The 27,328-nt window shown below is 45.9% G+C and overlaps 1 protein-coding gene across 5 annotated transcripts in view, besides 5 other annotated features; it reads right to left on the bottom strand.

Moving 5' to 3' along the window:
* Window positions 1–6,330, bottom strand: part of SUZ12 (SUZ12 polycomb repressive complex 2 subunit) — a 64,032-nt gene extending 57,702 nt beyond the window's left edge. For 3 of the 5 annotated variants that reach the window (NM_015355.4, NM_001321207.2, XM_047435707.1), the window contains exons 1-3: window positions 5,817–6,330; window positions 3,005–3,051; window positions 2,851–2,915 (exon numbers count right to left, since the gene is read on the bottom strand). In NM_015355.4, the coding sequence (NP_056170.2) occupies window positions 2,851–2,915; window positions 3,005–3,051; window positions 5,817–6,090 (386 nt within the window). In that variant the 5' untranslated portion in view covers window positions 6,091–6,330. Of the gene's footprint in view, window positions 1–2,850; window positions 2,916–3,004; window positions 3,084–5,816 lie in introns of all 5 variants that reach the window. The other 2 variants (XM_047435704.1, XM_006721794.4) reach the window with 2 other exon arrangements.
* Window positions 5,654–6,239: an enhancer, noted in NCBI's record as "H3K27ac hESC enhancer chr17:30264117-30264702 (GRCh37/hg19 assembly coordinates)". NCBI's record gives its function as "activates a minimal SCP1, AML or CMV promoter by ChIP-STARR-seq in primed H9 embryonic stem cells {active_cell/tissue: H9 hESC(primed)}" and the evidence as "EXISTENCE:reporter gene assay evidence [ECO:0000049][PMID:30033119]".
* Window positions 5,654–6,439: a biological region, named in NCBI's record as "H3K27ac hESC enhancer GRCh37_chr17:30264117-30264702".
* Window positions 5,980–6,439: a silencer, noted in NCBI's record as "silent region_8415". NCBI's record gives its function as "represses an Ori minimal core promoter by ATAC-STARR-seq in GM12878 lymphoblastoid cells {active_cell/tissue: GM12878}" and the evidence as "EXISTENCE:reporter gene assay evidence [ECO:0000049][PMID:35858748]".
* Window positions 25,316–25,971: an enhancer, noted in NCBI's record as "H3K27ac-H3K4me1 hESC enhancer chr17:30244385-30245040 (GRCh37/hg19 assembly coordinates)". NCBI's record gives its function as "activates a minimal SCP1, AML or CMV promoter by ChIP-STARR-seq in naive H9 embryonic stem cells {active_cell/tissue: H9 hESC(naive)}" and the evidence as "EXISTENCE:reporter gene assay evidence [ECO:0000049][PMID:30033119]".
* Window positions 25,972–26,629: an enhancer, noted in NCBI's record as "H3K27ac-H3K4me1 hESC enhancer chr17:30243727-30244384 (GRCh37/hg19 assembly coordinates)". NCBI's record gives its function as "activates a minimal SCP1, AML or CMV promoter by ChIP-STARR-seq in naive H9 embryonic stem cells {active_cell/tissue: H9 hESC(naive)}" and the evidence as "EXISTENCE:reporter gene assay evidence [ECO:0000049][PMID:30033119]".

Here is a 27,328-nt window from a genome sequence, read left to right as displayed (position 1 = left end):
TAAGTACCTACATAATATCCTCAATTTTGCACCCTGGCCGCAAAGCCTAAAATAATTACTATTTACTGGTCCTTTACAGAAAAAGCATGCTGAATGCTGGCAAAAATCAAATAATGGAGTAGACAGGTAAAGGGTGGACAAAACTAATTCTGTAACCTAATTCATCACCTCCTTTTTAGTTACTTAGGTGCTCAGCAATTTTCACCTATTAACTGCAATGCAAACTTGCTCATGCACGCTCTCTATTCAGAAAGATTGCCAAAAGACAAATAATTTTCACAATTCAATCCTTCAAAATACAAGATTTACACAACTCAACTATGTCTTGCTATAGAAATGTGATACCTACTTAATAAACAGTAGCAGTCCACCAAAGAGCTTAGTTTCAAACTCTATCGAGATAACTTGATGGTTTTACTAAAACTATAATGACAATACCAAATGCTTAACACAATTCTCGCCTTTAAATGTAAACTTGTTCACCTGATACTCTCAAATAAATATAATCTTGCACCTAGGACAAAAAACTTGCATTGATAATTATGTATGGTTAAGTACTAAATGTTACACAGCAAAAATAAGCTGTCTTCCACCTCCAGACCCCACTTTAAAATCTAATGATTTAAGACTTCATTGTTTTTAAAAAACCTTCATCCTATTGATTTCAAAAGTGTTTCCCCTTCAATAAGACCACCACCAAGGCCGGGCGCTGTGGCTCAGGTCTGTAATCCCAGCACTTCAGGAGGCCACGGTGAGTGGATCACCTGAGGTCAGGAGTTCAAGACCAGCCAGGCCAAAATGGTAAAACCCCAACTTCATGAAAAATACAAAAAATTAGCCAGGCGTGGTGGTGGGCACCTGTAATCTCAGCTACCTGGGAAGCTGAGACAGGATAATCCCTTGAACCCGCGAGGTGGAGGTTGCAGTGAGCCAAGATTGCGCCATTGCACTCCAGCCTGGGCAACAAGAGTGAAACTCTGTCTCAAAAAAAAATAAAAACAAAACAAAAAAAAAACCAAAGATATAAAATGAGACTTTCTGAACCCACCATTACAGGACCTAATTCAAATTACACATAATAATCAAAAATTAACTTAAATTTTACGTAACAAATATAGTTACCCTGAGCCCTTTAGTAAATATTTAAATCCTCAACTTCTATCAAACTTGAAAATAACCAGCGGAGGCCGGGCGCAGTGGCTCACGCCTGTCATCTCAGCACTTTGGGAGGCCAAGGCGGGAAGATCTTGAAGTCAGGAGTTTGAGACCAGCTTGGCCAACATAGTGAAACCCCATCTCTACTAAAAATACAAAAAATCAGCTGGGTGTGGTGGCGGGAGCCTGTAATTCCAGCTACTCGGGAGGCTGAGGCAGGAGAATTGCCTGAACCCGGGAAGCGGAGGTTGCAGTGAGCCGATATCGCACCACTGCACTCCAGCCTGGGAGACAAGAGCGAAACTCCATCTCAAAAAAAGAAAAAGAAGGTCAGGCTGGGCATGGTGGCTCACTCCTGTAATGCCAGCACTTTGGGAGGCCGAGGCAGGCGGATCCTGACGTCAGGAGATCGAGACCATCCTGGCTAACACAGAGAAACCCCATCTCTACCAAAAATACAAAAAATTAGCCGAGCATGGTGGCACGCGCCTATAGTCCAAGCTACTAAGGAGGCTGAAGGAGGAGAATCTCTTGAATCTGGGAGGCAGAGGTTGCAGTGAGCCGAGGTTGCGCCACTGCACTCCAGCCTGGGAGACAGAGCGAGACTCCGTTTCAAAAAAAAAAAGGCCAGGCACGGTGGCTCATGCCTGTAATCCTAGCACTTTAGGAGGCCGAGGCGGGTGGATCACCTGAGGTCAGGAGTTCGAGACCAGCCTGGCCAACATGGGGAAACCTTGTCTCTACTAAAAATACAAAACTTAGCCAGCTGTGGTGGCAGGCGCCTGTAACCCCAGCTACTTGGGAAGCTGAGGCAGGAGAATCGTTTAAACCCAGGAGGCAGAGATCGCAGTGAGCCGAGATTGCACCATTACACTCCAGCGTGGGGGACAAGAGTGAGACTTCTCTCAAAAAAAACACCAAAAACAAAACAACAACAACAATAAAAAAAAAAATAAGGAGGCTGAGGCAGGAGAATGGCATGAACCCAGGAGGCGGAGCTTGCAGTGAGCTGAGATCACGCCACTGCACTCCAACCTGGACAGACACTCTGTCTCAAAAAAAAACAAACAAACAAAAAAAGAGAAATAACCCATGGCACAGAGTAAAAATATAATCAGTAAAATCACTTTATTCACTTCACTACTAAAATCAGTTTTGTTTTTTTTTTCTTTGAGGTAGAGTCTCGCTCTGTTGCCCAGGCTGGAGTGCAACGGCGCAATCTCGGCTCACTGCAACCTCCACCTCCCGGGCTCAAGCAATTCTCCTGCCTCAGCCTCGCAAGTAACTGGGATTACAGGCACACACCACCACGCCCAGCTAATTTTTGTTTTAGTAGATACAGGGTTTTCCCATGTTGGCCAAACTGGTCTCGAACTCCTGACCTCAAGTGATCCGCCCAACTTGGCCTCCCAAAGTGCTGGGATTATAGGTATGAGCCACCACACCCAGCCTCATTTCTATTAGAGGATAAAAAAAAAAAGCTAATAACAACCTGAGACTTACAAAGATTATACTATAGAAAACCACTGTGCAACCAATTCAACCAGTCACTCTCTCACTTCAGTTTTCATCTTAAATCTTTAGTTAGAAATAGTACTTATTTTTGTTCGTTTTTTTTTTTAATTTTGAGAAATAGTACTTTAAAATAAAACTAACATGGTTTGATCAGCTTGAAATAAGATTCATAAAATGTACCTTTTGATGTTTGTTCTGGAGTTTCGATGAGACATGTAAGTAAGAGTTCTGTGCAAAAATATTGGCTACAAAAAGAGTTTTAAAAATGTTAAAATTGAATACAGATGCAGTTATAAGAGAGAAATAATATTGATGAATTTTGTTGACTACTTACTGCTATGAGATTCCGAGTTCGAAGAAATCTATAGATCTGTGTTGGCTCTAGGTAATAGGAAACAAAATCCAAACATGATCTAAACTTACTTGTCAGAAAAATATCAACCGAGACCATGTTATAATCAATATAAACTTATCATCTGCTATGGAAATCACGCACTATTTATATCGCACTAAATATTTACATCAAGAAAGTATGCACAGTAAGATCAAAAGGTATTCAATCAATGGCATACATTCACAAAGTTCATCTATGCTTTTTATACTGAAGGTTCTCTACAATATTTTTCTTAAGCCTTTCTAAGATAGTTATTGTTACCGAGCAGAACTCAAGAGAAGTAGTTGTACTCATTTAACTTAGCTAATTTAAACTATTTATTACCGATTTTCTTCCAAAAAGCAGCTGTAATAGGCAGCTGGAGTCAACAAAAGAACTATTGATTGATGCCAAACAAGATGAAAATTTCACTTTTTAAATGGTCACTTAAAAAATCTGTAGTCAGCCGGCCAGGCGCAGTGGCTCATGCCTGTATTCCCAGCACTTTGGGAGGCCAAGGTGGGCAGATCACCTAAGGTCGGGAGTTCGAGACCAGCCTGACCAACATGGAGAAACCCTGTCTCCACCAAATATACAAAAACAGCCAGGCATAGGGGCGGCGCATGCCTGTAATCCCAGCTACTTGGGAGGCTGAGGCAGGAGAATCACTTGAACCTGGGAGGCGGAGGCTGCCGTGAGCCGAGATCGCGTCATTGTACTCCAGCCTGGGCAATAAAGAGCGAAACTTCGTCTCAAAAAAAAAAAAAAAATTGTAGTCAGCCAAAACAGAATCCTAATACATCCTAATACAGATATGATGACATCCTAATACAGATCCAGACATTCCTAATACAGGTATGATGAAAGTCAGTCAAGATTTTTTTTTTCTTTTTTTGAAAAGGGGTCTTGATATGTTGCCCAGGCTGGTCTCAAACTCGTGGGCTCAACAGATCCTCCTGCCTCAGCCTCCAGAGTAGCTAGGATTACAGGTGGGATCCACTGCACTCAAAAGTCAGTCAATATTGAAATGAATCTCGGACACAAACTGCAGCAAAAATTCTCAATAAATATTCCTAATTATAATTTAAAGTTGTATCTATTTTGTTCAATATAAATATTACCTCAATACATTTTTTACACAATTGACAGGTTCACAAAACAGTCTTTCTAACGCTTAAAATGAGTTGAATTAAATTTCAAATTAGTTAAAATGTAATTTGTTATACAGGACTTAAGTCGATGAAAAATACATATACTATTATATCAGTTACATTAATGACCTATTAGTGTCACGTTAGGTCATTATACAGCAGTATCAGAATAAACCAAATAGAAATAACTATGTGAATAATTACATTCAAGTATTTAAACTTTCCAGTAAACAACTTCGAGTTGTTTTATGACCAGATCTAGCTCTTAATGACACTTGACTTCCCTGAGGTCGACTCATCAGAACGCAAATAGTTAAAACTTTCTTGGAGGATGTGTCTTAACATTCAGAAAGAACTTTTAAAATTTCCACCTAAATCTTCAATTGGTTTTATTTTAAATTAACTAAAGGGAGATGAGATACTTTAGAAGGGGTACAAACAAGTATCATTATTGTCACCACTGCCCTTCAGTTCTACATCCTATTTCCAATTAAAGCCTCTCTAGATATTTCAAAGTATACTAAGAAATACGTGAATAATGTGAATCTCTCTGAAGCAGGTTCAATATTCGTTTCCATAAAAACTGAAATTCCTTCTATTAAGTTCCAATTAGAATTTCATGAAGCACTAATGAGAGAGAATGAAGGAAGGGTATTAAACAACGTAATACGTCTTTCTAAGCACAGCTGATACCATGCCCTTAACATATGCCACAGTGAAACTGTAAATAAGGACACTGGGCGGTAGAGCCAAGTTTATTCAAGTTTCTGTAAGATTATTTAGCTATTAAAGATCACCCAAATTATAACACACAAAAGCAAAAAAGGGAACCAATCAGGATATAACATTCCTTAAAGAACAATCAGGATTATTCATAGTCACGATGTTTTTAATAAATTCTATTGTTTGTTTCCAGACACCTTGCTCTCCTTTCCAAATAAGTCAGTTTCACCTTCCAGACAGAACTTAGAAACAGAAATTGACGCAAGAAAATGTTCTGTAAGCCAGGTAGAAAAAGCAGAATTCCGGGGTCGTCTCCAGAGAAGATGCTTGACCACTCTCTGGCTCAGTTTACATATCCACAAAATGGGTGGATAGATTTGAAGGGTTTTAAGCATCCAAAGGTGCCATAGGAACCTGCAGCACCAAGTTAGCGCGAAGGCATTTCAGACTAAGGACACTTTCTTCGGTTCCACTGCACTCATCCCTTCACAGGCTTCATTTTGCCCCTCAAAAGCTACAACCGAAACCCCTGTATTTCTAGAGTCCGAAAGGCATGAAAGAAAACAAGAACCAGTCTCGGGATGTGACTGCGGCTCAGTTCAACTGCTACCTCCTCATCTAAAAGCCGCCTGCTCTGAACGTGGGGCCCCAGTCCCGAGCCTCTTGCGTCAATCTTGGGGGAGTCAAGAACCCGCCCGGACCCTCTTTTCCAGCTCTCCCAAGGCCCTGGACTCCGGATCCCCTGGAGACGTAATCTCCGAAAGGGGGACATCCCCTCAATTCCTCCCTCCACTACCACACAAGTGGACTCCCGAGGAGGAAGGGGGCCCAGCAGAGTGTCCCATCCCCGGTGTTGGCAGAGTGGGTCTTCCTGCCCTCAAAGCCTCGCACACACTCACTCTCAAAGGCCTGGAGGAAAAGCTCGTGGTCAGCCTGGACGTGCTCCATTTTCGGCTTCTTCACCGGTAACACCGCAGCCCCCGCCGCTGCCGCCGCGGAGGAGGAGGAGGAGGCCGAGTAACTGCCACCCCCTCCACAGCTCCCGCCGCCGGATTTGCCGCCCGAAGCCGTCGCCGCCGCCACCGCCGCCGAACCCCCGAAGCCGCCTCCCCCGGACCCCGCGCTGGGCCCCGAGCCGCCCCCTCCCCCACCGCCGTGCTTCTGAGGCGCCATCGCGGTTCCTGCCTCCTCCCCCCGCCAGCTACCCGCCGGGCGGCCCCGGAGAGCAAGCGCCTGCAATACCAACCGCTCGCCCCAGCAGGCTCCGGCGGACCGAGGGGGGAAGGAGGAGAGAGGGGAGGAGAGGGGAAGGGAAGGGAGGAGGAGAGGAGGGAAGGAGGGAGGAAAAAAAAAGTGTCTCCTCAGAGCCCCGCTCCGCTTCGGAGGCCGCTCACCCTACCCTGGCCTCGCTCCGCCCACTTCCCCCGCCCGGCGCTCTGATTGGCCGGCGGGAGCGCGCACCGCCGGGCCGCCCAGCCCGTTGGCCCGCGGATTCCCCCGTCAGTCACGCGGAGGCGCTTCTCGCGGAGGCGCGGCTTGGTTGGCCCGTGCGCGCTGCCGATCGCGGGCCCGGCCGCCTCTTTGAACTGAATTCGCGGGAAAATTAGGGGTCGGAGCGGCCTTCCTGCTGGCCCCGGTGCATTGTGGGGAGAGAAGGACCCAGCGAGCGGTTTAGCGAGTCTAGATCCTTAGTTTGTTGCCCCCAAACACCGTAAGAGTGGTCAGAGAGGTAAACTGGTTGAGAAGTACTTACATACACTCTTCTCTTCTTTAGGATCTATACCTTTTCAGCTCAGAAAGCTGAGAAGGAATCCGGTGTTTTGCGAGTCTTGCTTTTTTTTTTTTTTGAGACGGAGCCTCCCTCTGTCGCCCAGGCTGGAGTGCCAGTGGCGCGACTTCGTCTCCCTACAACCTGCGCCTCCCGGGTTGAAGCGATTCTCCTGCCTCAGCCTCCAGAGTAGCTGGGATTACAGGCGCTCGCCACCACGCCTGGCTAATTTTTTGTGTTTTTAGTAGAGACAGGGTTTCACCATTTTGGCCAGGCTGGTCTCGATCTCCTGACCTCGTGATCCACCTGCCTCGGCTTCCCAAAGTGCTGGGATTACAGGCGTGAGCCACCGCGCCTGGCCAGGTCTTGCTTTGAACGATAGACACATAGGCCCATTTCAGTCTTCTGGCACAGATTGGTTTGGAGTTGAGCTAATGATTTGAATTTCAGGTTGGACAAGATGATCTCTAAGGATGTTCTTCCAATTTTTATATTACGTTAAAATTTCAAAAATCCCAACCTATAAACATAGAACCATTTCATACTCTAAACAGCATTTTTTAAATGTCTACTTGGGTTCTCTATAGTTAACTGCAAAACACTGTTTACAAAACAAGTGTCTCTGGAATGGTTATTCAAGTTGTTTACAAAACTAGTTATCTTTGTAATGATTAAATACCTAAAGTACAGGTTTTATCAAAGCCTTTGCTACTTAAGAAAGTGATCTCTGCAAATGACGTATATAGTATTTGGCATTTCAGGAACACATCTGAAATTAGGTATACCTTCTTACCTGAAATAAGGAATGCCTGTTGTTAAGGACAAGCTATATTTTATATTCAGACAAAAAGTTCAGAATCCCCTCTTGTTTGTTACACTATCCTCTGTAGTCTTTTTTTTTTTTGAGACGGATTCTCGCTCTGTCACCCAGGCTGGAGTGCAAGGGCGCGATCTTGGCTCACTGCAACCTTGGCCTCCCGAGAGAAATACCAGTAAGTTCTCTTGGTAACAAAGCCACAGGCACTGCTAACACTACTATGATTTGTCACCTATTAGTAGTTGAAGGAGATGCTAAATTCTAGCTAGAGGTTAGTGTAAATAAATATATATATTTTTTGTCATTCAAGTTCTCAGACTTCCTGAAGCCTGTTCAAGTTAAGAACCTTTGTGTTATAGCAGCAAGTCTTTTTCTTTCTACTTTACTGTTAAGCTCTTGGGGCACGGATGATGGATGCTTTGGTAGCTGAGGTGTCTATCACTGTGCCTGGCATAGAATCAGGATTCATCCAATGAGTCTTGATGAATAAAGTTGGACACCAGCGCACAAATATAAATTAGGATAATAATGACTGAGTGCTTACTATGTGCCAGGCAATACTTTAAGTTTTTACAAGCTTAACATTCAATTCTCACACCAATCCTCTGAGGTAGACATTTATTAATATCTCCATTTCATAGATGAGGAAATAACAGCAAGACTTGTTAAGAAGCTTGCACAAACCGGGATTTTTAACCCAGGCAGTGTCTCTGGAGCCCTCATGCTTCACTATCATGCCAGAAAAATAAAGAGTTTTGTTTGTTGTTATTGTTGTTGTTGTTGTTTTGAGATGGAGCCTCACTCTGTGGCTCAGGCTAGAGTGCAGTGGCACAATCTCGGCTCACCGCAACCTCAGCCTCCCGGGTTCAAGTGATTCTCCTGCCTTAGCCTCCCAAGTAGCTGGGATTACAGGTGCATGCCACTATGCCTGGCTAATTTTTTGTATTTTTAGTAGAGATGGGGTTTCACCTTGTTAGCCTGGATGGTCAGGATCTCCAGACCTTGTGGTCGACCAGCCTTGGCCTCCGAAAATGTGGGGCTTACAGAAGTGAGCCCCACACCTTGCCAAGAGTTTTAAAGATAAAAGATGTAGGATATGTCAGGCCGGGCACGGTGGCTCACACCTGTAATCCCAGCACTTTGGGAGGCTGAGGCGGGCGGATCACGAGTTCAAGAGATTGAGACCATTCTGGCCAACATGGTGAAACCCCATCTCTACTAAAAATACAAAAATTAGCTGGGCGTGGTGGTGCTTGCCTGTAGTCCCAGCTACTCGGGAGGCTGAGGCAGGAGAATTGCTTGAACCCGGGAGGCGGAGGTTGCAGTGAGCTGAGATCATGCCACTGCACTCCAGCCTGGCGACAGAGTGAGACTCCGTCTCAAAAAAAAAAAAAAAAAAGTTGTAGCATATGTCATGTCTAAGTCAAGAAAGATCAGTAGGCTGGGTGCGGTGGCTCACGCCTGTAATCCCAGCACTTTGGGAGGCTAAGTTGGAACACAAGGTAAGGAGATCAAGACCATCCTGGCCAACACAGTGAAACCCTGTCTCTACTAAAATACAAAAAATTAGCCGGGCATGGTGGCATGTGCCTGTAGTCCCAACTACTGGGGAGGCTGAGGCAGGGAAATCACTTGAACCCGGGAGGCAGAGGTCACAGTGAGCCTGGATCGTGCCACTGCACTCTAGCCTGGTGACAGAGAAAGACTCCGTCTCAAAAAACAAAAAACAAAAAAAGGCCGGGCACGGTGGCTCAAGCCTGTAATCCCAGCATTTAGGGAGGCCAAGACGGGCGGACCACGAGGTCAGGAGACCGAGACCATCCTGGTTAACACAGTGAAACCCTGTCTCTACTAAAAATACAAAAAAATTAGCCAGGTGTAGTGGCGGGCGCCTGTAGTCCCAGCTACTCAGCAGGCTGAGGCAGGAGAATGGCGTGAACCCAGGAGGCGGAGCTTGCAGTGAGCCGAGATCACGCCACTGCACTCCAGCCTGGGGGACAGAATGAGACTCCATCTCACAAAAAAAAAAAAAAAAATCAGTAAATATTGCCTCTAAGGCTGGGCGCTGTGGCTCACGCCTGTAATCCCAGCACTTTGGGAGGCCAAGACGGGTGGATCACGGGGTCAGGAGATCGAGACCATCCTGGATAAAATGGCGAAACCCTGTTTCTACTAAAAATACAAAAAAATTAGCCGGGTGTGGTGGCGGGCACCTGTAGTCCCAGCTACTCGGGAGGCTGAGGCAGGAGAATGGTGTGAACCCGGGAAGCAGAGCTTGCAGTGAGCCGAGATTGCGCCACTGCACTGCAGCCTGGGTGACAAGCAAGACTCCGTCTCAAAAAAAAAAAAAAATTGCCTCTGATGTGCTGAAATGAATAATCATCAGTATGAATGCACTTGACTTAAAATAACCAAGGTATCAAGCCTCCCTTTTACTTGTACAGTGTCTATCCTCCATTCATCCTCATTTCCTTAAAATTTAGCGCTGAGACTATTAAAATAAGTCAACAAGGCCAGGTGTGGTGGCTCACACCTGTAATCTCAGCACTTTGGGAGGCCAAGGTGGGCAGATCACAAAGTCAGGAGTTCGAGACCAGCCTGGCCAATATGGTGAAACCCTGTCTCTACTAAAAATACAAAAATTAGCTGGGCATGGTGGTGGGTGCCTGTAATCCCAGCTACTCAGGAGGCTGAGGCATGAGAATTGCTGGGTGTGGTGGCATGCACCTGTAGTCCTGGCTACTTGGGAGGCTGAGGCAGGAGAATCGCTTGAACCCGAAAGGCAGAGGTTGCAGTGAGCCGAGATCATGCCACTGCACTCCAGCCTAGGCGACAGAGTGAGATGCCATCTTAAAAAAAAAAAAAAAGTCAACAAAGGCTATATCCGAAAAAAAATTTTGTCTTGCTTGAGGAAACTGACATGTTATATTAGCTGATAAGTTCTTAAAGAAATAGAATCAAATTTGATTTTTTTTAAAAAGAATGTCAACTGGTGATTGATTATCTGAATAGGAAAAACAGAAAAAGAAAAAGAAATAAAAATAAGTAAAAGGCTGGGTGTGTTGGCTCATGCCTGGAATCCCAGCACTTTGGGAGGCCAAGTCAGGTGGATCATCTGAGGTCCTGAGTTCGAGACCAGCCTGGCCAACATGGTGAAACCCCATCTCTAGTAAAAATACAGAAATTAGCTGGGCATGGGGGTGCATGCCTGTAATCCCAGCTACTTAGGAGGCTGAGGCAGGAGAATCTCTTGAACCCGGCAGGCAGAGGTTGCAGTGAGCTGAGGTCGTGCCACTGCACTCCAGCCCGGGCAATGCAGCAAGACTCCATCTCAAAAATAATAATAAGTAAAAAAAGGCCTCCAAGATAAAAATAGTAATGACCTGCCTAATAAAATGTAGTTTGAAGGAACAGTTTTAACAGTCCTGTTCAACTCTTAAAACCAAAAGTTTACTCATTTTTGTTTTCTTTGTGTAAGAAAGAAAAGCATGAGAACCATGGAACATTCACTGTATATTATAGGGTTTTCATAATAAACCACTGATTTGTGTATGTGTGTTTATCTAGAGTTAACAAGATATAATAAGGATGTTAGTAAGCCATAGTTAGAACTCCTGGGACAGGAAGAAACTTGACACTAATAACCTGGGGAGAAAAAAAACCACCTGAGCCAAAGTGGAAATATCTAAACCTGAATTTCTGGAGGCCTATGTCTGGAAAAAAAACTATTATGGCTGTTTTTCAGACTGTGGGACAAGTTGTTTTACATTTAACTTTAAACAAATGTGAAGTAAGTTGCCATTTATTGAGCAACCTGTCCACACAACAATCATAAACAGTAATGTTAGTTACTATTAGTATTAGTCAACCCCCTCAGATACTTCTCACTGAATCTCAAAGAGATTAAGTAACTCCCCCACCATTACACCATCCCACAAATGAGAGAGCTGGAGTTTAAACCCAGCTATAGGGGGCTCAAAACCCCATGTTTTCCAGTATGACTAAAGTATCCAAGCTGTCTTTCTGGAACCCCAGAGTTTCAGGAAGCTACCCTCCGGGAGAAGAGGAAGCTGCAATATGGTGGGCTCTGCATTCCCATTTGTCTTTCATCAGAGATGTTCTACTTGTGACTGTTTTATAATTTGTTTGAACATAATGGTTCTACTTGCTAAAAAGAATTTTTTTTGAAAATCACCACAGTATACTATGCTGTCTTCCCAAGTCTGATAATGAGAAATAACCAGCTAAAATAGCACCAATAGTGTATTCTGGGATATACTCATCTCAAAATTTGACAGCATTAAAAACAAACCTGGCCAGGTATGGTGGCTCACGCCTGTAATCCCAGCATTTTGGGAGGCCGAGGCCGAGGCAGGCAGATCACGAGGTCAGGAGATCAAGGCCATCCTGGCTAATACGGTGAAACCCCGTCTCTATTAAAAATACAAAAAATTAGGCCAGGCGTGTTGGCTCACGCCTGTAATCCCAGCACTCTGGGAGGCCGAGGTGGGTGGAGCGCGATGTCAGGAGATTGAGACCATCCTGGCTAACAAGGGGAAACCCTGTCTCTATTAAAAAATACAAAAAAAAATTAACCGGGCATGGTGGCGGGCGCCTGTAGTCCCAGCTACTGGGGAGGCTGAGGCAGGAGAATGGCGTGAACCTGGGAGGCGGAGCTTGCAGTGAGCCGAGATCACACCACTGTACTCCAGTCTGGGCGAGAGAGCGAGACTCCATCTCAAAAAAAAAAAAAAAAAAAATTAGCTGGGAGTGGTGGCAGGCGCCTGTAATCCCAGCTACTCTGGAGGCTGAGGCAGAGGAATCGCCTGAACCTGGGAGGCAGAGGTTGCAGTGAGCTGAGATCGCGCCACTGCAGCACTGCACTCCAGCCTTGGTGACAGAGCAAGACTCTGTCTCAAAATAAAATAAAATAAAATAAAATAAAATAAAATAAAATAAAATAAAAAATAAAAACCTATGACAAGACTAATGAAGATTACTTTGTTTCATGGTAATGAAATGCAGATGAAAAAGATCATTCTGGCTGGGTGTGGTGGCTCATGCCTGTAACCCCAGCACTTTGGGAGGCCGAGGTGGGCATATCACCACACGTCAGGAGTTCAAGACTAGCCTGACCAACATGGAGAAACCCCATCTCTACTAAAAGTACAAAATTAGCCAGGCGTGATGGCGCATGCCTGTAGTCCCAGCTACTGGGGAGGCTGAGGCAGGAGAATCGCTTGAACCTGGGAGGCGGAGGTTGCAGTGAGCCAAGATCACACCATTGAACTCCAGCCTGGGCAACAAGAGCAAAACTCCATCTCAAAAAAAGAAAAAGAAAATGAAAAAGATAATTCTGTAAATATTTCATGCATGCCCTGCCCAGAAAAAAAAAATTAGTTTTGCTGATAATACCGCTAATCTTTGTGTGAACTTATGTTTTCTTCATTTTCTAGGGAAAAAAACAGCATTATTATGTCATCATACTTCATAAATCATGTCAACATGATTATTAGGGTCAACCTGTCAGGTATTATCATCACTTCTTTTTTTTTTTGAGACCGAGTCTTACTCTGTCACCCAGGCTGGAGTACGGTGGCACGATCTTGGCTCACTGCAACCTCTGCCTCCCAGATTCGAGCGATTCTCCTGCCTCAGCCTCCCGAGTAGCTGGGATTACAGGCATGCGCCACCACGCCTGGCTAAATTTGTATTTTTTAGTACAGACGGGGTTTCACCACATTGGTCAGGCTGGTCTTGAACTCCTGACCTCAGGTGATCCGCCCGCCTCGGCCTCCCAAAGTGCTGGGATTCAGGCATGAGCCACTGTGCCCAGCCATCACTTCTATAATACTACTATAGTCTGGATATCTGGATTTCCATTCAGAGTTTATAAATTAACCTTTATTTTGCAATTGCTAATTTACTGCTGTTAAGCAGAACATATTAAGAGATGCAGACCTTTATTTTTAGCTAGTTTTTTTTTTTTTTTTTTTTGAGAGGTAGTCTCGCTCTGTCACCGAGGCTGGAGTGAGTGCAGTGGCGCGATCTCGGCTCACTGCAAGCTCTGCCTCTCGGGTTCACGCCATTCTCCTCCCTCAGCCTCCCGAGTAGCTGGGACTACAGGCACCCGCCACCATGCCTGGCTAATTTTTTTGTATTTTTAGTAGAGACAGGGTTTCACCATGTTAGCCAGGATGGTCTCGATCTCCTGACCTCGTGATCCACCCGCCTCGGCCTCCCAAAGTGCTGGGATCACAGGCGTGAGCAACGCACCCGGCCAGCTAGTTGTTATTATTACAAATATTGTTCTTATTTTCATAATACGATTTTATTTATTTATTTATTTATCTATTTATTTATTTATTTTTTAGACAGAGTCTCACTCTGTTGCCCAGGCTGGAGTGCACTGCACCCTGGGCAACAAGAGCTAAACTCTCTCTCAAACCAACAACAACAACAACATATTTAGGGCCAGGTATGGTGGCTTAGGCCTGTAATCCCAGCACTTTGGGAGGCCGAGACGGGCAGATCACAACGTCAGGAGTTTGAGACCAGCCTGGCCAACATAGTGAAACCCCGTCTCTACTAAAAATACAAACAATTAGCCAGGCTTGGTGGCACGTGCCTGTAGTCCCAGGTACTCGGGAGGCTGAGGCAGGAGAATCGCTTGAAGCCAGGAGGTGGAGATTGCTGTGAGTGGAGATCATGCCACTGCACTCTAGCCTTGGCAACAGAGCCAGACTGTCTCAAAAAGAAAGCAAAAAACGTATTTAGGGTGTAGAAGTACATATTTCCTAAAGGCATATATTATGTAGTGGTAAAGTCTAAGCTTTAATGTAGGTTCTTGTTAAAGTTACCTCAGTTCTTTAATTCTGAGAACTCACAGAAATTACCAGTGTGCAATACCAAAGTTAAATTCACTTTTTTACACCAAAGTTAAATTTATACAAATGTTATTTTTCTATAGAATTATAATTTTTTTTTTTTGAGACGGAGTTTCACTCTGTTGCCAGGCTGAAGTGCAGTGGCACAATCTCGGCTCACTGCAATCTCTGCCTCCTGGGTTCAAGCAATTCTCCTGTCTCAGCCTCTCGAGTAGCTGGGATTACAGGCTCGCACCACCACGCCCAGCTAATTTTTGTATTTTTAGTAGAGACAGGGTTTCACCATGTTGGCCAGGATGGTCTTGACCTCCTGACCGTGTGATCCGCCGGCCTTGGCCTCCCAAAGTGCTGGGATTACAGGTGTGAGCCACAGCGCCCAGCCTAGAATTGTAAGTTTTATAAAGCTTGAGATCCATTTTTTATTCCTGAATTATCCAAAAATAAAAGGCAAATGGTGTTATCTTCTAATGGGTGCAAAAAAGGGTTACAAATTTAGCTCAAAACATGTCAAGTGATATAGAAGAGTTCGGCCGGGGCGGTGGCTCAAGCCTGTAATCCCAGCATTTTGGGAGGCCGAGGCATGAGAATGGCGTGAACCCGGGAGGCAGAGCTTGCAGTGAGCGGAGATCGCGCCACTGCACTCCAGCCTGGGCCACAGAGCGAGACTCCGTCTCAAAAAAAAAAAAAAAAAAAACACAAGAAGAGTTCCTGGTAAGAAAATATACAACACTTAGGAAGTGAAACAAAATTAAAAACTAAACTTTGCATTACACTTACCATATAGTAATTTAAAAGTTATCTTTTTTCTTTTTTTTTGAGAGGAAGTTTTGCTCTTTTTGCCCTGGCTGGAGTGCAATGGCACCATCTTGGCGCACTGCAACCTCTGCCTCCCAGGTTCAAGCAATTCTCCAGCCTCAGCCTCTCAAGTAGCTGGGATTAAAGGAACTTGCCACCATGCCAGACTAATTTTTTGTATTTTTAGTAGAGATGGAGTTTCACCATATTGGCCAGGCTGGTCTCGAACTCCTGACCTCAGGTGATCCACCCACTTTGGCCTCACAAAGTGCTGTGATTATAGGCATGAGCCACAACATCCGGCCTTGTCTGATGTTTTTCTAATGATTGGAGTTCACTTATAGGTTTTATGGAGGGAGATCACAAAAGGGAAGTACCATTGTTATCATACCATATCCAGGTTGATATCCATATGATTGTTATTGATGACGTTAATCTTGATCACCTGTCCAACATTTCTCAACCTTCTCCATACTTTTTTCTCCTGTACTCTTTTTCTCTGCTGTACTCTTTCTCTCCTACTTTTTCTCTCCTATATTCTTTTGAAGCAAGTCCCCAAGTATAGCACTACACTCAAGGTGTGGTAATAGTGGTTGTGGTGAATTAAGCTCTACCACCTTGATGGCTAAGTATCTGTATGAATAATTTGGAATTCTTTCGTGAAGTGGATATTTACCTTCTCTTCCATTTCTATATTTATTCAATACTTTATATCAGTATGGATTCATGGGTATTTATTTTATACTTTGGGGTATAATCTAATACTATATATATATATATTTTTTGAGACAGGGTCTAGCTCTGAAGCCCAGGCTGGAGGGCAGTGGCATGATCTCGGCTCACTGCAACCTCTGCCTCCCAGCTTCAAGTGATTCTCCTGCCTCAATCTCCAGAATAGCTAGAATTACAGGCTCCTGCCAACACGCCCAGCTATTTTTTGTTTTGTTTTGTTTTGTTTTTTTGCTTGAGACAGAGTTTTGCTCTTGGTGCCCAGACTGGAGTGCAATGGCACAATCTCAGCTCACCACAACCTCTGCCTCCGGGGTTCAAGCGATTCTCCTTCCTCAGCCTCCCAAGTAGCTGGGATTACAGGTATGTGCCACGATGGCCTGCTAATTTTGTATTTTTAGTAGAGACGGGGTTTCTCCATGTTGGTCAGGCTGGTCTTGAACTCCCAACCTGAGGTGATCCACCCACCTCAGCCTCCCAAAGTGCTGGGATTACAGGTGTGAGCCACCGCGTCCAGCTATTTTTTTTTTTTTTTTGTATTTTTAGTAGAGACAGGGTTTCACCACATTGGTCAGGCTAGTCTTTAACTCCTGACCTCAAGTCAGGCCAGGCGTGGTGATGGGCGCCTGTAGTCCGAGCTACTTGGGAGGCTGAGGCAGGAGAATGGCGTGAACCTGAGAGGCAGAGCTTGCAGTGAGCAGAGATCGCGCCACTGCACTACGGCCTGGGCGACAGAGCAAGACTCCATCTCAAAAAAAAAAAAAAAAAATTAAAAAGAAACCAAGGCCTGGTGCAGTGGCTCATCTCAAAAAAAAAAAAAAAAAAAAAAAAAACAGAGAAAAAGAAACCAAGATGTGGTTGCTGGGTACACTCATTGCTTCTGGGGTGTCATTGCTTCCAGCCTCTCCCAGTAGACAGAGCTAAGATATATGTATGTATACTAACCCATATATACACACAAATCTATATTTATTTCTGTAAATATCCATCTCTATCTATAGTAAGCTAAACGTGAATTGTTGTAATCCAGTAGCCTTTTTTTTTTTTTTTTTTTGAGATAGACTCTCAGTATGGTGACTAGGCTGACCTCAAACCCTGGGCTCAAGGGATCCTTCTGCCTCACTCAGGCTCCTGTTGTGCACTGCCACCCTGCCCAGCTGTGGTCTTTGGTTTTTTAATGTGAGTAGTCATATTCTTTTTCAATCTGTCTGTCTTTTTCCAGAGTACTTAATCCAGGGGATCCAAGTTTGTGCTGTTAATATAATTACTCATGTGTTTAACAATTGTTGCCACATTTTAATTAATTAATTAATTAATTTATTTATTTATTTGTGTTGAGACAGAGTCTCACTCTGTCGCCCGGACTGGATTGCAGTGGCGCGATCTCAGATCACTGCAACCTCCGCTTCCCAGGCACAAGCGATTCTCCTGCCTCAGCTTCCTGAGTAACTTGGATTACAGGCGCGCACCACCATGGCACACCTGTAATTTTTGTATTTCTAGTAGAGATGGGGTTTCATTATGTTCGTGAGTCTGGTCTTGAACTCCTGATCTCAAACAATCCACCTGCCTTGGCCTCCCAAAGTGCTGGGATTACAGGCATGAGCCACCGTGCCCGGCCCTGTTGCCACATTTTAGTGAGGAAGAACTAATTTCATTTTCCCAGGAACCTTGAAATGTTAGGGAGGTAAGAGATGACAACCAAATACTAGAGGAAAAGGAAAGCTGGAACCAGGTGCCATGGGTCATGCCTATGGGAGGCCAAGTCGGGAGGATCACTTGAAACCAGGAGTTTGAGACCAGCCTGGACAACACAGCAGGACCCTCATTTCTTTCTTTCTTTCTTTTCTTTTCTTTTTTTTTTTTTTTTGAAACAGCGTCTCGCTCTGTCGCCCAGGCTAGAGTGCAGTGGCATGATCTCGGCTCACTGCCAGCTCCGCCTCCAAGGTTCACACCATTCTCTTGCCTCAGCCTCCTGAGTAGCTGGGACTACAGGCGACTGCCACCACGCCCAGCTAATTTTTTGTATTTTTAGTAGAGACGGAGTTTCACCGTGTTAGCCAGGATGGTCTCGATCTCCTGACCTCGTAATCCGCCCGCTTCGGCCTCCTAAAGTGCTGGGATTACAGGCGTGAGCCACCTCACCCGGCTCTTTTTTTTTTTTTGAGACTGAGTTTCACTCTTGTTGTCCAGGCTGGGGTGTGATGGCGCAGTCTCGGCTCACTGTAACCTCTGCCTCCCGGGTTCAAGTGACTCTCCTGCCTCAGCCTCCCGAGTAGCTGGGACTACAGGCACCCGCCACCATGCCTGGCTAATTTTTTGTATTTTTAGTAGAGATGGAGTTTCACCGTGTTAGCCAGGATGGTCTCGATCTCCTGACCTCGTGATCTGCCCGCTTCGGCCTCCCAAAGTGCTGGGATTACAGGCGTGAGCCACCTTACCCGGCTCTTTTTTTTTTTGAGACTGAGTTTCATTCTTGTTGTCCAGGCTGGAGTGCAATGGCGCAGTCTCGGCTCACTGCAACCTCTGCCTCCCGAGTTCAAGTGACTCTCCTGCCTCAGCCTCCCGAGTAGCTGAGATTACAGGTGCATGCCACCACGCCCGGCTAATTTTTATTTTTAGTAGAGAGGGGTTTCTCCATGTTGGTCAGGCTGGTCTCAAACTCCTGACCTCAGGTGATCTGCCCGCCTTGGCCTCCCAAAATGCTGGAATTACAGGCATGAGCCACTGTACCCAGCTGCGAGACACACATTTCTACAAAAAATAAAAGAAGGCTGGGTGCAGTGGCTCAATGTCTGTAGTCTCAGCTACTTGGGAGGCTGAGGTGGGAGAATATCTGGAGCCCAGGAAGTCAAGGCTGCAGTGAGCCTTTATCACTCAACTGCACTCCAGCCTAGATGATGGAGCAAGACCTTATCTCAAAAACAAATAAATAAATAAAATTAAAACAAAAAAAAAAAAGGAAAGGGGGCACTGCTCATTGCCCTTCCCAGCAAATGTTGTTGAAAGAGGAGATGAGGGACCGGGTGCAATGGCTCATGCCTGTAATCTTAGTACTCTGGGAGGCCGAGATGGCCGGATCACCTGAGGTCAGGAGTTCGAGACCAGCCTTCAACATGGTGAAACCCTGTCTCTACTAAAAATACAAAAATTAGCTGGGCGTGGTGGCGCATGCCTGTAATCCCAACTACTTTGGAGACTGAGGCAGGAAAATTGCTTGAACCTGGGAGGCGGAAGTTGCAGTGAGCCGAGGTTGCCCCACTGCACTCCAGCTTGAGCAACAAAGCAACACTCCATCTCAGGAAAAAAAAAAAAAAAGGTAAGAAACTCATTTGAGCCCAGGAGTTTGAGGCTGCAGTGAGCCATGATTGCACTACTGTGTTTCAGTCTGGGTAACAGAGTGAGACCAAGAGAAAAAAAAAAGCACAGTTCCCTTTTCCTCATTAGAAGCTACTTTTCATTACTTAGAAATCTTTAAATTTTACCAACGTGTCTGAGCGGAAGAAGGGAGAACAGAATATGTCATGAATAGACATTGAGTTCACCATAAAACTCCCAAACAGAATTGGGGAACTTGTTATATTCTGAAACTCTTGTTACATCAAGAGTTTTTCAGAGAGAAGCATGGCTTATAATAAATAGTTTGGAAATCTGAGTCTTAAAGACCTTTTCAAGAGCCTAAGCTACTGACTCCTCCTTCAAAGAACACTAAGATGGAGCCTTTTGCAAGTAAATAAATATCCCTAATTTCTCAGATAAAGGCATTGCAGAATGAGTGCTTCCTACCTTAACTCCTTCCATTCCTGGCCATACTGCTCTCTGATCATTCAGCATTATTCCGTGAACATTTTCTACATTTTCTTTTTTTTCTAAGGCGGAGTCTCACTCTGTCACCCAGGCTGGAGTGCAATGGCGCAATCTCGGCTCACTGCAAGCTCCGCCTCCTGGGTTCACGCCATTCTCCTGCCTCAGCCTCCCGAGTAGCTGGAACTATAGGCGCCTGCCACCATGCCCGGCTAATTTTTTGTATTTTTTTAGTAGAGACGGGTTTTCACTGTGTTAGCCAGGATGGTCTCGATCTCCTGACCTTGCGATCTGCCCGCAATATAGAGCTTTACTCAAGGGAGTGACATGATCAGAACTGCATTTGGAAGATTATTCTGATTTACCTTTTTTTTGAACCCAGGAGGCAGAGGTTGTAGTGAGCCAAGATCCCACCACTGCACTCCAGCCTGGCCACTGGGCAAGATTCCGTTTCAAAAAAAAAAAAAAAAGTTGGCACTAAACTGAATAAACTAGCAGTTTTTTCTGAGGACATATCTTGTAGATTAAAAAAAAATCGACTAGCAGTCTTTGAAATGAACACTATACTTTACCTTTATGGCTTGTATTAAGTATATAACGCTTAATAAAATAAAAACTCCAGCTGGGTGTGGTGGCTCATGCCTGTAATCCCAGCACTTTGCGAGGCCCAGGCAGGCAGATCACCTGAGGTCGGGAGTTCAAGACCAGCCTGACCAACATGGAAAAACTCCATCTCTACTAAAAATACAAAATTAGCCAGGCATGGTGGCGCATGCCTGTAATCCCAGCTACTCGGGAGACTGAGGCAGGAGAAACGCTTGAACCAAGGAGGCAGACATTGCAGTGAGCCGATATCATGCCATTACACTCCAGCCTGGGCAACAAGAGCAAAACTCCATCTCAAAAAAATAAAATAAAATAAGATAAAAACCCCAACCCACTAGGAGACCTAAAAGACAAGGGAAGACATGCTAGGTTTTTCCATGGCAGATTCCCCCAGACTGAATTAGTCATTTGCTAGTCATTCCTATAATAGTTTGTGCATATATTTTTCATGTTCTTATCACATTGAGTAATATATACTTAAGTTTCTCCTACTACATCATGGAGTGCCTTAAAGAAAAGAAATGGCCGGTCGCGGTGGCTCACACCTATAATCCCAGCACTTTGGGAGGCCAAGGCGGGCAGATCACAAGGTCAGGAGTTTGAGACCAGCCTGGCCAACATGGTATAACCCCGTTTCTACTAAAAATACAAAAATTAGCTGGGCGTGGTGGCACATGCCTGTAATCCCAGCTACTCAGGAGACTGAGGCAGAAGACCTGCTTGAACCTGGGAGGCAGAGGTTGCAGTGAGCCGAGACCACGCCACTGCACTGCAGCCTGGGTGACAGAGTGAGACTCCGTCTCAAAAAAATAAAAAAATAAAAAGAAAAAAAGAAAAGAAATGTATATTACTCATCCTTGTATCCTCAGCAGCTTGCTTAAGCTTGCTTAAGACCGTGCCCATAGCAGATACCTAATCAATATTTGTTTGAGTAACTAATAAGAAAGGTGGAATGTGGGCCGGGTGCGGTGGCTTACGCCTGTAATCCCAGCACTTTGGGAGGCTGAGGCGGGTGGATCACCTGAGGTCAGGAGTTCGAGACCAGCCTGACTGATATGGTGAAACCCCATCTCTACTAAATATACAAAAATTAGCCAGGCGTGGTGGCGGGCACCTGTGGTCCCAGTTACTGGGGAGGCTGAGACAGGAGAATTGCTTGAACTTGGGAGGTGCAGGGTGCAGTGAGCCGAGATCGCGCCACTGCACTCCAGCCTCGGTGATAGAGCAAGGCTCCTTCTCAAATAAAAAAAAAAAAAAAAAAAAAAAGGTGGAATGTGAATTGAGCCTTGAGGGTTTCAGTAAGCACAGAAGCAATATAGAGCTTTACTCAAGGGAGTGACATGATCAGAACTGCATTTGGAAGATTATTCTGATTTACCTTTTTTTTTTTGAGACGGAGTCTTGCTCTGTCACCCAGGCTGGAGTGCAGTGGCACCATCTCGGCTCACTGCAACCTCTGCCTCCTGGCTTCAAGCCATTCTCCTGCCTCAGCCTCCCCAGTAGCTGGGATTACAGGCATGCACCACCAAGCCCAGTTAATTTTTGTATTTTTAGTAGAGACGGGGTTTCACCATGTTGGCCAGGCTGGTCTCGAACTCCTGACCTCGTGATCTGCCTGCCTCGGCCTCCCAAAGTGCTGGGATTACCGGTGTGAGCCACCGTGCCCGACCCCTGATTTACCTTTATTACATTAGAGACCATGATTATTTTGAAGCAATAGTTTACAAGAGCTGGCTCATACCAGGTTGTAAGAATCAACTGTTGAATTTTTAGAAATTTTAAAAGCCAGTTGTTAAAACACTGTCACTGTTAAATTATTATGTAAAGTTACAATTAAATCAGTTATATTAAAAACCAAAATAAATACTCAAAACTCATTACTTCCAAATTATTATTATTATTTTTGCAGACGGAGCTTCACTGTTGTTGCCCAGACTGGAGGGCAATGGCATGATCTTGGCTCACTGCAACCTCTGCCTCCAGGTTCAAGCAATTCTCCTGCCTCAGCCTCCTGAGTAGCTGGGATTACAGGCACCCGCCACCATGCCTGGCTAATTTTTGTATTTTTAGTAGAGGCAGGGTTTCACCATGTTGGCCAGGCTCGTCTCGAACTCCTGACCTCAGGTGATTCGCCCACCTCGGCCTCCCAAAGTGCTGGGATTACAAACGTGAGCCACTGCGTCGGGCCCCAGATTATTTTTCTACATTTTATTATTATCTATGCTCTTGAGATTATTTATGTGTGTTCTATCTATATGGTGGGAATGCTATGATATGCTACTGTGCATCTCTTCCTGACTCCATCTTTAGTGATATAATGTTAGTAGCTTGAAAGCAACCATGATGGAAATATTTGTACTATCAAAATAGGCAAACACTACAAATCAAGGCTTTCTTCCCCCTGCTTCTGAGAGTTGGTTGTTAGAAATTGAGTAGCACACCACTGTTTTTTGTTTTTTGGTTTTTGGTTTTTTTTTGAGACAGAGTCTCACTCTTGTTGCCCAGGCTGGAGTGCAATGGCACAGTCTCGAGTCACCGCAACCTCGGCCTCCTGAGTTCAAGCAATTCTCCTGCCTCAGCCTCCTGAGTAGCCGGGATTACAGGCATGGGCCACCATGCCTGGCTAATTTTTGTATCTTTAGCAGAGGTGGAGTTTCTCCATGTTGGTCAGGCTGGTCTTGAACTCCCGACCTCAGTTGATCCACCCACCTCAGCCTCCCAGAGTGCTGGGATTACAGGCATGAGCCACAGCACCCGGCCTAGCACACTATTGTTTAGAAGGCAACATTGATAAAAGGGCAATGAAAAGTTTGGAAAATAGAGTTGAGGAAATTTGCAGACCGTGGGGGAAAAAAGAAAGTTAAGTGTGAGAGAAAAGTTGAGAGGATTAGACTTACTTGGAGATTCCAATATACAAGTAACAGGAATTTAAGAAAGAAAGAACAAAGATGCATGGGGTGGAGCGGAGTGGGGTATGAGTGTGTGGAGGTGGAAGATATGAGTAATGCAAGAAAAATAAAGCAAAAAAAATTCCAGAACCGAGGGCAACAGTTTCTAAATTGAAAGGGCTCTCTGTCTAGCACAATGAGTGAAAATGCACATCAAAGCATGGCATGTCACTTGCATTTTCTTTTTCTTTTCTTTTTTTTTTTTTTTTTTTGAGATGGAGTTTTGCTTTTGTCGTCCAGGCTGGGGTCCAATGGCATGCTCTTGGCTCACCGCAACCACCTCTTCCCAGGTTCAAGCGATTCTCCTGCCTCAGCCTCCCGAGTAGCTGGGATTACAGGCACCTGCCGCCGCATCCAGCTAATTTTTGTAGTTTTAGTAGAGATGGGGCTTCACCTTGTTGGCCAGGCTGGTCTCAAACTCCTGACCTCAGGTGATCCACCTGCCTCGGCATCCCAAAGTGCTGAGATTACAGGCGCGAGCCACTGCGCCTGGCCTGTCACTTGCATTTTCAAAACATCAAAGATAGAAGATCCTCAGAGTTTCCAGAATTAATAATAAAATTAGGGTCATACAAAAGGTATACAGTTGTGTTAGCTGGGCGTGATGGCAGGCGTGTGTAATCCCAGCTACTCAGGAGGCTGAGGCAGAAGAATCGCTTGAACCCGGGCTGCAGAGGTTGCAATGAGCTGAGATCGCGCCCCTGCACTCCAGCCTGGGTGACTGAGTGAGACTCCATCTCAAAAAACAAACAAACAAACAAAAAAGGTATACAGTTATGTTCTTTTGTAAGTAAGGATTTCCTTAGATTTCTCAGCAATAACACAGAAATGAGAAGACAAGTCATAGTTCTAAGGAAAAATGGATTCCAACCTAGAATTATGTAACCAGACAAATTATCACATTAATCAAGTGAGATCAAATAAAGATATCTTTCACCCAGGAGGCTGAGACAGGAGGACGGCTTGAGGCCAGGAGTTTGAGGCTGCAGTGGCTATGCTGGTGCCTGTGAATAGCCACTGCATTCCAGCCTGGGCTACATAGCAATACTTCGTCCCTTAAAAAAAAAAAAAGATATTTTCAGACACGCAACATCTCAAAAAATTTTCCCCTTCACCACACCCTTTGTCAGAAAGCTACTGGAGGACATATTCTACCAAAGTGAGGGAGAAAAACAAACATGGAATCCAGGACAAAGGGGACTCACACAAAGAAGTAAAGAAAATTCCCAGGATGGTGAAGAAGGGAATTCCCAGAACAGCTGTGCAGTTCGTCTAGTGAGCAACAGTTAAGATTGGCATGGGAGGGATATTTCCAAGAAAAAACAAAATAGGTGTATTATTTGATGAGTTTGAATGAATGGAGCCTTGCAATTCTGGCAAAGCATTTGTGGGGTGGGGGGTGGAAATTAATGATGGGTACATAGAAGCCTTAACAAACCAACCATTGAGACAATCACTAACCACAAGGAAAAAAAAAAAAAAAAAAAGTCTGATAAGAAAGGAAATATGGCTGGGGGCGATGGCTCACACCTGTAATCCCAGCACTTTGGGAGGCCGAGGCGGGCAGATCACTTGAGGTCAGGAGTTTGAGACCAGCCTGGCCAACATGGTGAAAACCCATCTCTACTAAAAATACAAAAATTAGCCGAGTATGCTGCTGGGCCCCTGTAATCCCAGCTACTTGGGAGGCTGAGGCAGGAGAATCGTTTGAATCCGGGAGGTGGTGAGCCGAGATCCAGCCACTGCACTCCAGCCTGGGGAACAAAGCGAGTCTCCGTCTCCACAACAACAAAAAAGGAAATGTAATCATAGTATATTACACAAACCAACTGGGAAAAGTATTTTCTTTATTTTTATTATTTTTTGAGACCGAGTTTCGCTCTTGTTGCCCAGACTGGAGTGCACTGGCGCGATCTCGACTCACCACAACCTCTGTCTCCCGGGTTCAAGCGATTCTCCTGCCTCAGCCTTCCTGAGTAGCTGGGATTACAGGCATGCGCCACCACGTCCAGCTAATTTTGTATTTTTAGTAGAGATGGGATTTCTCCATGTTGGTCTGGCTGGTCTCAAACTCCCGACCTCAGGTGATACGCCCGCCTCAGCCTCCCAAAGTGTTGGAATTACCGGCATGAGCCACAGCGCCCGGCGGGGAAAAGTATTTTCAAACTCATAATAACGTAAGTTCAAAATCGGTTTAACCCGCAATTTGGGGAGGTTGGGGGATGAATGTGTGTAGGGAGGGGGCAGGAAGAGTTGGTGAGAGGCCAAAAAGAGGATGATACCATACTTAGTGGGAAACAGATCCCCCACCATAAAGATAAAGGAAATCAGAAACTGCTCAAGTCCTGGACCCCCTCAGACGGATAATGGACAGAGAAAGGGGGTCAGGAGGGAGGAGTAGAGAGGGTTGGTAGGGGGGTTTGTTTGGAGCAAGGCTTCAGTGTTGCGACTCCCGCCCTCTTTGGAGGAAGGGGCATGGAGTGCTCCCCTCAATTCAGAGCTCCAGGAGGGGCTTTTGAACGGTAACGCGCGAGCTGGGAAACCTGAAGCCTTGGTGCCCTCCCCACGAAAGCCAGAGGCCGGCTGCGACCTGCGCCGGATTCCCTCCCTGTGGACAGGGAGGCCGACTCCTTGCTTGGGGACAGGACAAGGCTGTGAGGTTGGGCTGGAGGGGCGGGCGTGGAGTTGCCGCGGTGAGGACGGCCCGCTTGGGCGCCCCAGAGGCCGGGCAGGGGCGCGGGGACCTGGTTGCACCGGTGGCGGTCGTCCTCTCCGCGGCAGCTGCTGCCGCCCTGCCGAGCCGCCCGCGGGAAAACCCCAGAAGGCCCCGGCCGCCGCCGGGCAGGGCAGCGCCCGCTTCCATCCGCTGCGGGCCCGGAGTCCCGGCCGCTCGGCCAAGCGAGGTGAGAGGCCTGTGGCTTCCAGCCCCGATCTGGGCCCTCGCCCTGCGACTCCGACTCCTGTCCCAGTCCCCTACCACACGGACCTCGGCCCCAACTACGACGGTCACCTCGGACCCTGGCTCTCGCTCCCCGACCCTCGCTCTCTGACAAAGGGTCTGGGGCGAGGGCGTGGAGCCGCGGCCGGCAGGAGGCGAGCGCTCAGCCCCGGTGCGGGGTCCCGGGGGCAGGGGTCGCTGAGCCCGGGTCGGGCTGGCTGGGGCTGCGCAGCCCAGGGTGCATGCGGCGGGCGAAGGCCTGTGCCCCACCTAGAGCGGAGCCCGCGGTGTGTGCACCTAGGCCAAAGAGGTGACCCCGGGAATGAAATCTAAGGAATAGAGGGAGTTAACTGTAGAGTGGCGTTTTAGTTACATCGTAGTTAAGTCTGTGCCACACACCAGTTAAACCGGTTATTTAGAAAGACGGCGGGAAACCAGCAGAAATACCTGAAAAAAATACCACATGATTGCACAGGAAAGTTAAAATTCCAGAGAGGGGATGCATGGGGGAGGGGAATGCTGTTTTTCTTTACTGTTTGGCTTTTAAAACTAGTTAATTAAAAGTTTCCTGGTGGGGCGCGGTGGCTCACGCCTGTAATCCCAGCATTTGGGAGGCCGAAGTGGGCGGATCACCTGAGATCAGGAGTTCGAGACCAGCCTGGCCAACATGGTGCATTTTGTAAAAATGCAAAAATTAGCTGGGCGTGGTAACGGGCACCTGTAAGCCCAGCTACTCCGGAGGCTGTGGAGGGAGAATGGCTTGAACCAGGGAGGCGGAGGTTGCAGCGAGCCGAGATCCCGCCACTGTACTCCCACCTGGATGACACAGTGAGACCGTGTCTCTAAATAGATAATAAAATAAAAATAAAATTTTCTTTAAAAAAGAACCGTAGTGACCTTTAGTTACCCCGAATCCTAGATTTCCCAGCAGGCTCCCCAACTCATTGGCTGTGAGATCTTGGTCAAGCCATTTTATCCTTTGGAGCCTTGGTTTGCTTATCTGTTAAATGATACTAGTAACACTCAACCAGAGTTGCTGTAAGGATTAGTGACAAGTTAGGCGAAGTGTTTTGTCAGGGCCTGTGATGGGCACAAACCAGCTGTTCAATGAACCTTGTG

Source organism: Homo sapiens, chromosome 17 (assembly GCF_000001405.40).
Source record: "Homo sapiens chromosome 17, GRCh38.p14 Primary Assembly".
Taxonomy (NCBI): Eukaryota; Metazoa; Chordata; class Mammalia; order Primates; family Hominidae; genus Homo; species Homo sapiens.
The sequence above is the reverse complement of the archived record's forward strand: the minus strand, read 5'-3'. Positions and strand labels throughout refer to the sequence as shown.